Source organism: Homo sapiens, chromosome 14, assembly GCF_000001405.40.
Source record: "Homo sapiens chromosome 14, GRCh38.p14 Primary Assembly".
Lineage (NCBI taxonomy): Eukaryota > Metazoa > Chordata > Mammalia > Primates > Hominidae > Homo > Homo sapiens.
In genome coordinates this window covers 55070855-55082738 of record NC_000014.9, presented here as the reverse complement: position 1 = coordinate 55082738, position 11884 = coordinate 55070855, and the positions used below count along the sequence as shown (strand labels likewise).

The 11884-nt window shown below is 43.4% G+C and overlaps 7 annotated features.

The window, feature by feature from the left end:
- Positions 3831-4332: an enhancer, noted in NCBI's record as "H3K27ac-H3K4me1 hESC enhancer chr14:55545125-55545626 (GRCh37/hg19 assembly coordinates)". NCBI's record gives its function as "activates a minimal SCP1, AML or CMV promoter by ChIP-STARR-seq in primed H9 embryonic stem cells {active_cell/tissue: H9 hESC(primed)}" and the evidence as "EXISTENCE:reporter gene assay evidence [ECO:0000049][PMID:30033119]".
- Positions 3831-5474: a biological region, named in NCBI's record as "MED14-independent group 3 enhancer GRCh37_chr14:55543983-55545182".
- Positions 4275-5474: an enhancer, noted in NCBI's record as "MED14-independent group 3 enhancer chr14:55543983-55545182 (GRCh37/hg19 assembly coordinates)". NCBI's record gives its function as "activates an origin of replication core promoter dependent on BRD2, BRD4, P300/CBP and CDK7 cofactors, and independent of MED14, by STARR-seq in HCT116 cells {active_cell/tissue: HCT116}" and the evidence as "EXISTENCE:reporter gene assay evidence [ECO:0000049][PMID:35650434]".
- Positions 4333-4834: an enhancer, noted in NCBI's record as "H3K27ac-H3K4me1 hESC enhancer chr14:55544623-55545124 (GRCh37/hg19 assembly coordinates)". NCBI's record gives its function as "activates a minimal SCP1, AML or CMV promoter by ChIP-STARR-seq in naive H9 embryonic stem cells {active_cell/tissue: H9 hESC(naive)}" and the evidence as "EXISTENCE:reporter gene assay evidence [ECO:0000049][PMID:30033119]".
- Positions 4857-5356: an enhancer, noted in NCBI's record as "H3K27ac hESC enhancer chr14:55544101-55544600 (GRCh37/hg19 assembly coordinates)". NCBI's record gives its function as "activates a minimal SCP1, AML or CMV promoter by ChIP-STARR-seq in naive H9 embryonic stem cells {active_cell/tissue: H9 hESC(naive)}" and the evidence as "EXISTENCE:reporter gene assay evidence [ECO:0000049][PMID:30033119]".
- Positions 8018-8147: an enhancer, noted in NCBI's record as "active region_8424". NCBI's record gives its function as "activates an Ori minimal core promoter by ATAC-STARR-seq in GM12878 lymphoblastoid cells {active_cell/tissue: GM12878}" and the evidence as "EXISTENCE:reporter gene assay evidence [ECO:0000049][PMID:35858748]".
- Positions 10406-10525: an enhancer, noted in NCBI's record as "active region_8423". NCBI's record gives its function as "activates an Ori minimal core promoter by ATAC-STARR-seq in GM12878 lymphoblastoid cells {active_cell/tissue: GM12878}" and the evidence as "EXISTENCE:reporter gene assay evidence [ECO:0000049][PMID:35858748]".

Below are 11884 nucleotides of genomic sequence, written 5' to 3'. Positions count from 1 at the left end.
CGATATTTTCAATTTATGATGGGTTTATTGGGATGTAACCATATTGTAAGTCGAAGACCACCTCTACTTATATTTCTCCTGGGAGTAGAATGAGTGGGTCATTAGGTAGGTATATGTTTAACTTTTTAAGAAACTGACAAATTGTTTTCCAATTGGTCATGCCATTTTACATTCCCACCAGTAGTGTAGGAGAATTCCATTGTCTACATCCTCACCAACAGTTGGTACAGTCAACGTTTTTAATTAAATTAATTTTATTTATTTATTTATTCATTTTTATTATTTTATTTTATTTTTTTTGAGACAGGAGTCTCACTCTGTCACCCAGGCTGGAGTGCAATGGTACGATCATGGCTTACTGCAGCCTCAACTTCCCAGTCTCAAGTGATCCTCCCACCTCAGGTTCCCAAGTAGCTGGAACTACAGGCACATGCCACCACACCAGACTAAGTTTTTCTATTTTTCATGGAGACAAGATCTCACTATGTTGCCCAGGCTGGTCTCAAAATTTTGGGCTCAAGTGATCCTCCCACCTTGGCCTCCCAAAGTGCTGAGACTACAGGCGTGAACTACCACGCCCAGTCCTGTTTTTAATTGTATGCATTCTAGTAAGTGTGTAGTGGTATCTCTTTGTATCTCTCTCCCCAAGCCCTGGCAGCCACCAACCCACCTCTATAGATTTGACTATTCTGAATATTTTATATACATAGAATCACAGTATATGCAGCCTTTTGTGACTGGTTTCTTTCACTTAGCATAATGTTTTCAAGGTGCATCAAGTTATAGCATGTATCAGAATTTCATGTCCATTTATGGCTGAATAATATTCCATTGATGGGAATACCACATTTTGTTTATCCATCAGTTGATGGACATTTAGGTTGTTTCTACTTTTTGGCTGTTATGGACAATGCTGCTATCAACATTTGTGCACAGGTGTTTGTGTGGACATATATTTTCATTTTTCTTGGGTGTATATCCCTAGGAGTAGAATTGCTGGTCATACAGTAACTTTATGTTTAACCTTATGAGGAACTTCCAGGCCAGTGGTGAGGTTCAAGCAAGGGAAGGAGGAGGTTCTGGGTCAATGGTACATATTTGCTCTATTGGAGAGAAGCAATTGGCCAAAATTGTAGCTTGTCATTAGTCTGTTGAACAGCCATGGATTTTCATTACTTGGGCAGAGAACACATGAAGCCAGGCTAGATATCACCAATGGGTGACCATATTAAAGACTTGTGAATATTGGTATTTAATGTATCACTATTTAGTGCCCAGGTCCCCCTTATGTATGTTTATTACCACGTGTACTCTTGGTTCTCCCAGCTTTTTTCATCTATGTTTAACCCACACATTTTCTAGATGCCAATTACTGATTTATACTTGATATCTTATGAGTTCATCCCATTTCTTCTATAAAATAATTGAATATTTTGAAACTATATATCAAATGCATATTAAACCCTTCCCCTCTGTAATTCATTTCTGCATGACACCACACTTACTTTGTACACAATGCTGAATAAATGTTAAATAAAAAATAAGCAGGGTGGGACCTGTAATCCCAGCACTTTGGGAGGCCGAGGCAGGAAGATTGCTTGAGCCCAAGAGTTTGAGACTAGCCTGGGCAACATGACAAAAACCCATCTCTACTAAAAATACAAAAATTAGCTGGACATGGTGGCACACACTTGCGGTCCCAGCTACTTGGGAAGCTGAGGTGGGAGGATCACCCAAGCCCGGGAGGCGGAGGTTACAGTGAGCCGAGATTGCTCCACTGCACTCCAGCCTAGGCGACAGAGTGAGACTTTGTCTCAAAAAAAATTAAAATAAAAATGAGCAATAATCTCTGGTAGTCCTGCCATAGAAATAAGCAGTTATTCAAACAAAAATTTCCTGTGATTAAGTACTTGGGAAATACTGGTTTTTTGTTGTTTTTGTTTTTTTTTACTATAGGACTTGCTAGCCCCTTAATGTACTAATGTGGTGGTACTTCTTCATGAATGGATTTCACATTCAGTGTCCTCAAACTTACTGATCCATGGAACCCTTTACTCAAGGTGCAGCTCTAGAAATTGGTGTTGTATAAAATACACCTTGGGAAATGTTGCCTTGGGGATTGCTCTGTGCAAGGCCTTGGAAGTATAGCTGTTTACTACAGCAGCCATAGACTGAACAGCTGAACTGAAATTCCTCCGGGTACCTTTTATAAAGTATAAACATCCCACTTTTCTGGTTTGTTTTTTTGTTTTTTGTTTTTTGCTTTTTTTGGTCTCACTCTGTCACCCAGGCTGGAATGCAGTGGTGTGATCTTGGCTCACTGCAACCTCCGCCTCCCAGGTTCAAGCAATTCTCCTGCCTCAGCCTCCCGAGTTGCTGGGACTACAGGCACACGCCACCATGCCTGACTAATTTTTTGTATTTTAGTAGAGACAGGGTTTCACCATGTTGCCCAGGCTGATCTCGAACTCCTGAGCTCAGGCAATCTGCCCACCTCAGCCTCCCAAAGTGCTAGGATTACAGGCGTGAGCCACTGCGCCCAGCCTATTTTTAAAAACAATAACAAGAAGCAAGATAGGGAAATTGAAGTGACTTGGGGTATGAGCTGACTAAATTATGCAATCAAGGGTTTTTCTAATTTCTCCTTTTGAGTAAATACAGGAATAATGTCCCATCCCCTAAACAGCACAGTGCTGAGACTAATTCTTTGACAAATATTAGGCACGTTGAAAGATATTAGGTTCATAAAAAGGAGACTTCAGGCAAGGCGTGGTGGCTCAAGCTTGTAATCCCAGCACTTTGGGAGGCTGAGGTGGGTGGATCACCTGAGGTCAGGAGTTCGAGACCAGCCTAGCCAACATGGTGAAACCCTGTCTCTACTAAAAATACAAAAAGTAGCCGGATGTGGAGGCACATGCCTGTAATCCCAGCTACTCGGGAGGCTGAGGCAGAAGAATCACTTGAACTCGGGAGGCGGAGGTTGTAGTGAGCTGAGATCGCACCATTGCACTCCAGCCTGGGTGACAAGAGCGAAACTCTGTCTCAAAAAAACAAAAAGAAAAACAAAAAAAAACCCAGAAAGACTTCCTCTTCCACCTGGCTGGAAAAATATGCCTAATAGAACACCAGGAAACCCAAATCTCCGTGCGAAGCGTCTCCCTCATATGGTTAGCCTGGAGAGCCAAGGGATCCTAAAACTTAAAACTGAGTTTATTGGAGCTCTCTGTATTGTAGATGGGAGAACAGCTAACTTAATCTAGTAGACAGAATATAGGGACAGAAACAGAGCCAATCATAGGTCTTCTACCCTATCATGCTCCGTTTCACATCCTCTGGCCCCAACACTATCAACATATAGGCAGGTATTGCTGCTCCTGACCCATACCATCCTGCATACAGGATTGTCTCTCCCCCTTGCCCTTTTTGCAGTCTCTTCTTGCACCCTTCCCTAAGCATATCTCCAGCCTGAATCCTGCTCAGCTGTCAAATTTCAGCTCAAATGTCATTTCCTCTGGTGAGCTTTCCTTGACTCCAGAATACTGTTACACATTATTTCCCCATCGCTCATTACAAATGTAATTTATATTATTTAGTGATTGTCTCTTCCACTAGCTTGTAAACTACACAAGGGCAGAAACCATTTAACTTGTTCAGTATTGAATTTCCAGGATGTGGCACAGAGTAAGTAGTAAAAAAATACCAGTTAGTTGCTCACACCAGTAGCCCTAGCTACTCAGGAGGCTGAGGTGGGAGGGAGTATCGCTTGAGCCAGGGAGTTTGAGGCTGCAGTGAGCTATGATCGAGCCACTGCACTCCAGCCTGGGTGACAGGGCAAGACCTTGTCCCCCAGAAATAATAATAATAAAATAAATAGGCCGGGCACAGTGGCTCACACCTGTAATCCCAGCACTTTGGGAGGCTGAGGCAGGCGGATTATGAGGTCAAGAGATCGAGACCATCCTGGCCAACATGGTGAAACCCCATCTCTACTAAAAATACAAAAATTAGCTGGGCATGGTGGTACGCACCTGTAGTCCCAGCTACTCAGGAGGCTGAGGCAGGAGAACTGCTTGAACCCGGGAGGTGGAGGTTGCAGTGAGCTGAGATTGCACCACTGCACTCCAGCCTGGCGACAGAGCGAGACTCCATCTAATAAAATAAAATAAATAAATAAAAAATAAATAGGCCAGGCGCAGTGGCTCCCACCTGTAATCCCAACACTTTGGGAGGCTGAGGCGGGCAGATCACCTGAGGTCAGGGGTTTGAGACCAGCCTGGCCAACATGGAGTGAAACCCCATCTCTACTACAAATACAAAAATTAGCCAGGTGTGGTGGCAGGTGCCTGTGTAATCCCAGCTACTCGGGAGGCTGAGGCAGGAGAATTGCTTGAATCCGGGAGGCAAAGGTTGCAATGAGCTAAGCTTGTGCCACTGCACTCCAGCCTGGGTGACAAAGTGAGACTCCGTCTCAAAAAAATAAATAAAAATAAGTAATAAATACATACATACCAGTAAGTTGAACGACTAAAACCTAGGTGCTAAAATATCTTTGCTCATTTATCTTAGGCCTGTTCTATCTTTCTTTGTCCTAGGACAAAATCTTATCAACTCCTTTGTCCAAAGCTCAAATCCCTCGAGACTCATTCCAGGAAGCCTTCTCTTGCCGATTCCCCAGTCAGAGTAGTTGTTGGCCTTCGTGGACACAGGCTAATCTCTCATGTAATCCCAAATGAGCTGGGAAAAGCCGTGCTCTTTTAGAATATGAGGTATTCAGAGTTGCTAGTGGGCCTGAAACTCTGTAATGAATAGCTCATGTGTACTCCCAAAACCCAGCAAGAAGGAATAGTGCAGCTGTGGGCAGCCAAGAAGCAAGTCGTGTTCACAGGTATGTGGCTGACGTCAGTGCGGATAACTCATGAAAGCTGTTCCAGGGTGGAGCTGTTCTCTGGAATGTTGGGAACACAGCTACTCAGAGGTACAATTGTGACACTGGACTTCCTCCCCAGACGGGGCGCCTGCCTGCCCTTCATCTGTTGCCGAAACTCACTCACATACCCAGGCCTGGGGCTTGCGATTTTTCTAATCCATCCCCAAGGTGAGCTGCTTTCAAACAGGGTGTGGAATTGATTTGGAAATATGGCCAGGTGCAAAGTAGCGTGAGGTGAGGAGACAGATGTTCTTTTGGACTCTCTTTCTCCGAGACAGGTCTTTTTCTGAAGTGCCTTAAAATATTAATGGTGCCCTGCGTGATAAAGGGGAAAGAGCATGGCTCTGCACTCCACAGGCTGTGAATTTTTACCCCTTGCTTATGTTGTTGTGAGGACACAGTGAGTGTGAGTAAAGGCCTTGGGTAAGGGGCGGGGCTTATAGGGCATTGCTAAGGGAGAAAACAGAAAACAAAGCATGTGGGTGACTGTCTGAGACATCACTAGTGTTCAACAAATGGTAGCTGTTTCACTATTAGGTGCTCCTCGGGTGTACTCAGAGCAATCCGTGCCTCCTGCATCAGTAACATCACACCTGCCTATTTTTCTGTTTCTTCTGCTAAACTGTAACACTCTTGTAGGCCCAATACCTAGAAAAATGCCTTTCAGCTCCCATGATAAGCTCACATCTGATGTCAGGTGCCAACTGCTTCACATGGATGACTTCATTTAATTCTCGTAACCCTGTGGAGTTAGGCATGAGTGTAATCCTCATTTTATTTTATTTTTTATTTTTTTGTGTGGAGTTTCATTTTTGTTGCCCAGGCTGGAGTGCAATGGCGTGATCGTGGCTCACTGCAACCTCCACCTCCTGGGTTTAAGTGATTCTCCCGCCTCAGCCTCCCGAGTAGCTGGGATTACAGGTGCCCACCACCACGCCTAGCTAATTTTTATATTTTTTAGCAGAGATGGGGTTGAAACCCCGTTGGCCAGACTGGTCTCAAACTCCTAACCTCAGGTGATCCGCCCGCCTCGGCCTCCCAAAGTGCTGGGATTACAGGCGTGAGCCACCACGCCCGGCCCTCATTTTATAGCTGAATAAGCAAAGGCACTACAAGGTTAAGTAATTCAGCCAGTGTGATCTATGTAGTAAGCAGTGGAGTCACGATTTAAACACAGCTGGCCAGGTTCCAGAACCTGTGCTCTTTACCTCTGTTTTTGTTTGTTTGTTTGTTTTCTTTTGTTTTTTTTTTTTTTTTTTTTTTTGAGATGGAGTCTCGCTGTGTCGCCCAGGCTGGAGTGCAGTAGCACTATCTCGGCTCACTGCAACCTCCGCCTCCCAGGTTCAAGCAATTCTTCTGTCTCAGCCTCCCAAGTAGCTGGCGCTACAGGCACGCACCACCACGCCCAGCTAATTTTTGTATTTTTAGTAGAGATGAGGTTTCACCACGTTGGCCAGGCTGGTCTCAAACTCCTGACCTCAAGTGATCCTCCCACCTCAGCCTCCCAAAATGCTGGGATTACAGGCGTGAGACACCACGCCCAGCCTGCTCTCTACCTCTATACTACGCTGCCTCTGTCCTCACTCTAATTATGTTTTTCTCATTTTTCTCCCTAATAGCACAGTGAAAAATACCATCCCTATTGTCTTCCGTATTTGTGGGGCTATCTTTATTCTGCGATTCTTGTTGTACTGGCTCAACATAATGCTTTACACAATTGAATGCTTGACAATTGCCTCCCCATTGGTGCAGAGCTGGGTCTGGCATGCTGGGTTTATGACCCAGTTATGCTCTTTCACAAAAACATTTCTGGATGCCATTGTCAGACAGGACACTAGACTGAGTGGACTACTGGGAAGACCCTTTTATGCTCTTGTGTTCTAAATGACAGCCCTGTTTCCTAAAGTAATTGAGATTTTCAGTTATCAGCATAAAAGGAAACCATGGATGCTAGGCACAGCCTCGTGCTACTGTTACATGCCTCAGACATCAGTCACCACTGAAGTTAGGCTTGTCTGCCTCTCTCAAAGACAGTCTGAGTGAAACTGGAGTTTTCTTTCAATATTAGGTTCTCAGGTCCCATATGCTTTTAAAAACATGTAAATTATATATGCAAGAGAATGACATATATTTGGAGTTAAATAAGTCAAATGAATACTCATGTATAGCCACCATCCCACTCAACTCAATAGAATATTACCAGAATCTCAGGCTAAGCGCGGTGGCTCATGCCTGCAATATCCCAGCACTTTGGGAGGCCGAGGTGGGTGGATTGCTTGAGCCCAGGAGTTTGAGACCAGCCTGGGCCACATGCTGAAAACCCATCTCTACAAAAAAAATCAGCTGGGCCTAGTGGTGCATGCCTGTAGTCCCAGGTACCAGAGAGGCTGAGGTGGGAGGATTGCTTGAGGGGAGGTCAAGCCTGCAGTAAGCCGTGATTGTGCCACAGCACTCCAGCCTGGGCGACAGGGCAAGACTCTATCTCAAAAAAAAAAAAAAAAAAAAAAAAGTGTGTGTTTGTGTGTGTGTATATATATATGTGTGTGTGTGTATATATGTGTGTGTGTGTATATATATCCAGAATCTATCCTCTCCCCACTGCGTCCTTCTCCCACTCCTCCCCCGGCAATTCTAACATGCTTTTCATTATAAAGTATTAGCTGTTTGAAAGCGATAATTTTTCTGATGACTACTGTATATCAGATGTGATTCCTAAGTACTTTGTGTTATAAAAGGTGCTAGCAGCAAAAGAATATTCAAACTTGTATTTTGAAGTTTCATTTTCAACGTGAACTGATACTGTCAGTGAGCTGCTTTCTATTCTAACTTTACAACCACAGTGCTGCAGCATAATAGTGTGCTGAGAACACGTGTCTTTAAATTGTGGATGTGCAAAATTTTGCCACAAATTGGGGACATGTACTTCTGTGGCAGTGACTGCCAGAATGTTAAGATGACCGGTGCTGCAGATGGGGAAGAGCAGATGCAAACAGCAGGAGTGAAGAGGTGACTGTAACATGAAGCCAGGGCCACAGATAGATTGTTTCCTGCAACACGTAAGAACTTTGCTGTGTAACTATGTGAGAGAACTCGGCCATGGCAGCAGATGCTCTCCTCAAACACCCTGATGAATACTAGTGTGGTAACACCTGAAGCATTTAATCCTTACAGGAGAGCCACAAGTTCTAGTATTCAAAAATGCACCTCAAGCACCAAAAAGTTGACAACTCTTACCCGGCCACTAGATATTTCTGAAATGATTTAACAAGTTTTTGCTATTTCCCTGCCATTCAAGTATCGTATGAAATAATAATTTCACTGTCCCCTAGTCCCTCTTTACTGTGAATTAGAAACAAAACGTGTATGTCACCCCAGGGTTGGAGGAAATGAAATGTAATTCTATTACATATTTGGTAATATTTATATGCAGCAGCCAGAGACCCTCCAAAATTGGACATAAGCCAGGCGCGGTGGCTCCTGCCTGTAATCCCAGAACTTTGGGAGGCCGAGGCAGGAGGATTGCTTGAACCCAGGAGTTCAAGACAAGCCTGGGAAACATAGCAAGACCCCATCTCTAAAATACAATAAAATGGACATAATTTTTGGTACTACTCAGTTTGTAAGGGGATTAAGTTGGGGGAAAAACTTAGGGCTTTAAGGGAAATTGCTTTCTGACTTGGGAGGGAAAAAGACATAATTGTGGCTATGTGGCAGAAACCTTTGGAGAGGTGCCCAGAAAAGTAGAAAGCCCTGTTCCAACCCTCTTTCTCTATCTAGCTCCTCTATCTTAGAAGACATGACTCCCTGTTCCAAGACTGGGACGTGCTTGCTTCTTGCCGTTGGGACTTACTGAAGATAATGTAGCTACAATTCAGTGACTTGGATATGGTTCTTCACCTTTATAAGATGCAGTCTGAGTAGCACCCTAAATAATATAGTCATCTCTCAGTATCCACAGGGGATTGGTTCCAGGACCCTCCTGGGATACCAAAATCCACAGATGCTTGGGTTGCTGATATTAAATGGTGTCGTATTTGCCTGTAAACTACGCACATCCTCCCTTATACTTTAAATCATATCTAGATTACTTAGAATACCTAATACAATGTAAATGCTAGCACATAGTTGCTATATTGTATTTTACATTTTGTATTATTTATTGTTGTTTTCCTTCGAAATATTTTCCACCTGAGGTTGGTTGAATCCCCAGATGCAGAACCCACAGATACAAGCGGCCGACTGTATGTGAATGAAGGGGTAACTTCTACAGTAAAACATGTTTTTTAGGACAAGTTTTTTCTCTGAGGAAATAAAATCTTCACTGGTACTCTTTTTTTGTTATATTTAGGACAACCATGTGACTTATCACAAACACCAGGACACTTTTGTGGATGCAAGGGAGGTGCTTTAATAATTATACCTGGAGTCTGGGCGTGGTGGCTCACGCCTGTAGTCCCAGCACTTTGGGAGGCCAAGGTGGGTGGATCACCTGAGGTCAGGAGTTCGAGACCAGCCTGGCCAACATGGTGAAACCCTGTCTCTACTAAAAATACAAAAACCAGCTGGGTGTGGTGGTGGGCACTTGTAATCCCAGCTACTTGGGAGGCTGAGGCAGGAGAATCGCTTGAACCCAGGAGGCGGAGGTTGCAGTGAGCCGAGATCATGCCATTGCATTTCAGCCTGGAGGGAAAAAGCAAAACTCTGTCTCAAAAAAAAAAAAAAAAAAAAAATTATACCTGGCAAACAGGAACCAGAATGATTCCAGGCCATATATCCAACTGGGACATATAACCACTTGCTTAGAGCACAAGGTTGGTGGTTAATAAATATTAGGATCACATTGTGTACTCCCTGCTCCCCCCGGCATGTGAGGTAAGAGCTAATCACATTGTGTAACATTTAATCCTTAATGTTGATCACCTAATTTTTATTTTTTTGAGACAGGGTCTTACTCTGTCACTCAGGCGTGGTGCCATCATGGCTCACTGCTACGTCTGCTTCTTGGGCTCATGTGATCCTCCCACCTCAGCCTCCCAAGTAGCTGGGATTATAGGCATGAGCCACCACGCCTGGGTGATAATCTGATTTTTAAAAAAGGAATATTCATATAGAGCTACTATATTAGATGTGCATTGTTTGGGGTATGCTAACATACCTAGTGGATCTCTAGCTAGAGGGAATGAAGAATGTTTTTTCCCTCATGGTACTTTGAGCATTATTATGTTTATAGGTAAGGGAAGTGAGCACAGGAAGCTAATCAGTTGCCGTAAATCACACACCAGAGCTGAGCTCAAAGCTTAAAATAAAAACCCTAAAAAACAAATTCGTGACCCAACACTGATTTAAAAAGAAAAGTAAAAAATAAAAATACCAACTCTGCCCTGTGAATCCCCAGCAATTGTGTTGCTCGCTGAACCATGAAGGGCTGCCCTTTAGAATTTGATCACAGAGGCATCGAAGGTGGAGACTTATTACCCCTTTCAGACGAGAAATCTTATGCTGGGAAGCTGCTTTTCCTAGTTCGCACAAGTCCTCTTCATTCCACTTCTATAAAAAGCCCAAGTAAGAGTCCTAATCGTTAGTCATGCAGTTTAGTCTTTTTGTAGATTTGAGCATTCAAGAAAGGACGCAGGTGATTCATTAAGCTTAGTACTTGGGGTTTTTGTGTGTTGCAGTAACTAAGCAACAGTTAAGATATTTTAACTTAGCATGTCCTGCATTGGCACGTTTAAAAAAAGAACTGTCATGCCGTGCTTGGCAGAACCTCACTCTGACTCTTCCACACTCTGTGCAGTTCCTGTACATCTTGGCTGCCCATCCACTGCTAACAGAGACCTCTTCTGTCTCAGCTGCTCTGACAGCCTTGGCCTAGTGTGTGCCACTGCAGGGTAGCTGGATATCCATGTCTCCAATGACTGGTAACTGCAAAGGCTGGACCTGGAACTAGTGGTTTGATCATCCACTACCTTAATTCTCTCATTCACATTTTAAACCCACTCTTAACTGCTATACCTTTGAACATTTGCCTTTATGAAAACACAACTCAAGTTCTAGGTTAGCACTTGAAGAACTGTGATTATTCACAAAACCATGCATTTCAAACATAACCATTAGCTTTTTTTTTTTTTTTTAACTGAATATCCGATGAAACTCACTAAATGAAGTGTGAGAGGTCTGCTACATAACATTCAATTTAGATAGATTTGATTGTCCAGATAGTTTTGGAAGAACTGCAGTACTAGATGCCTGAACAAAAAAAATAGAACCTAGTGGATAAACTCTAAGCCTTGATAACAGAAGCACTGGTTCATTATTTATGTGGTATGACTCTGGGAATTTAACCTCTAAACAGGATCTTGCTCTGTCGTCCAGGCTGGAGTGCAGTGTAGCCTCTAACTCCGGGGCTCAAGTGATCCTGCCACCTTGGCCTCCTGAGTAGCTGGGACTAGAGGCACATGCCACCACACCTGGCTAATTCTTCAATTTTGGCTTGTGGAGATGGGGTCTTGCTATGTTGTCCAGGCTGGTCTCAAACTCCTGGCTTCAAATGATCCTCCTGCCCTGGCCTTTCAAAGTGTTGGGATTACACAGGCATGAGTCACTGCGTATCTCTTTTAAACTTGGTTTCCTTATCTCTAAAGTGGCTTTTAAATCTACGTATCTTTAAGGAAAGCTAGACTATATGACCATTAAATAAAACGACAAGCTCTGACATAAAACATAATCAGAGCAAAACTTAAAATGTTCTATTTCCTCTTTTCTTACGTAAAACTAAGTATGGCTTAGAATCCCATATGACCCAATTCTATTACACTTGGGAACCTCTGACTATGATCTAAATAAACCTCAAGTAGCAGACATGGTCATTTATAATGGTAGTTTTTTAAAATTTAAAAGCAGCAAATCTGTCCCCTTCCTGAAGCAACTTATCAGTAAGGAAAATACACGAAGTGCAGA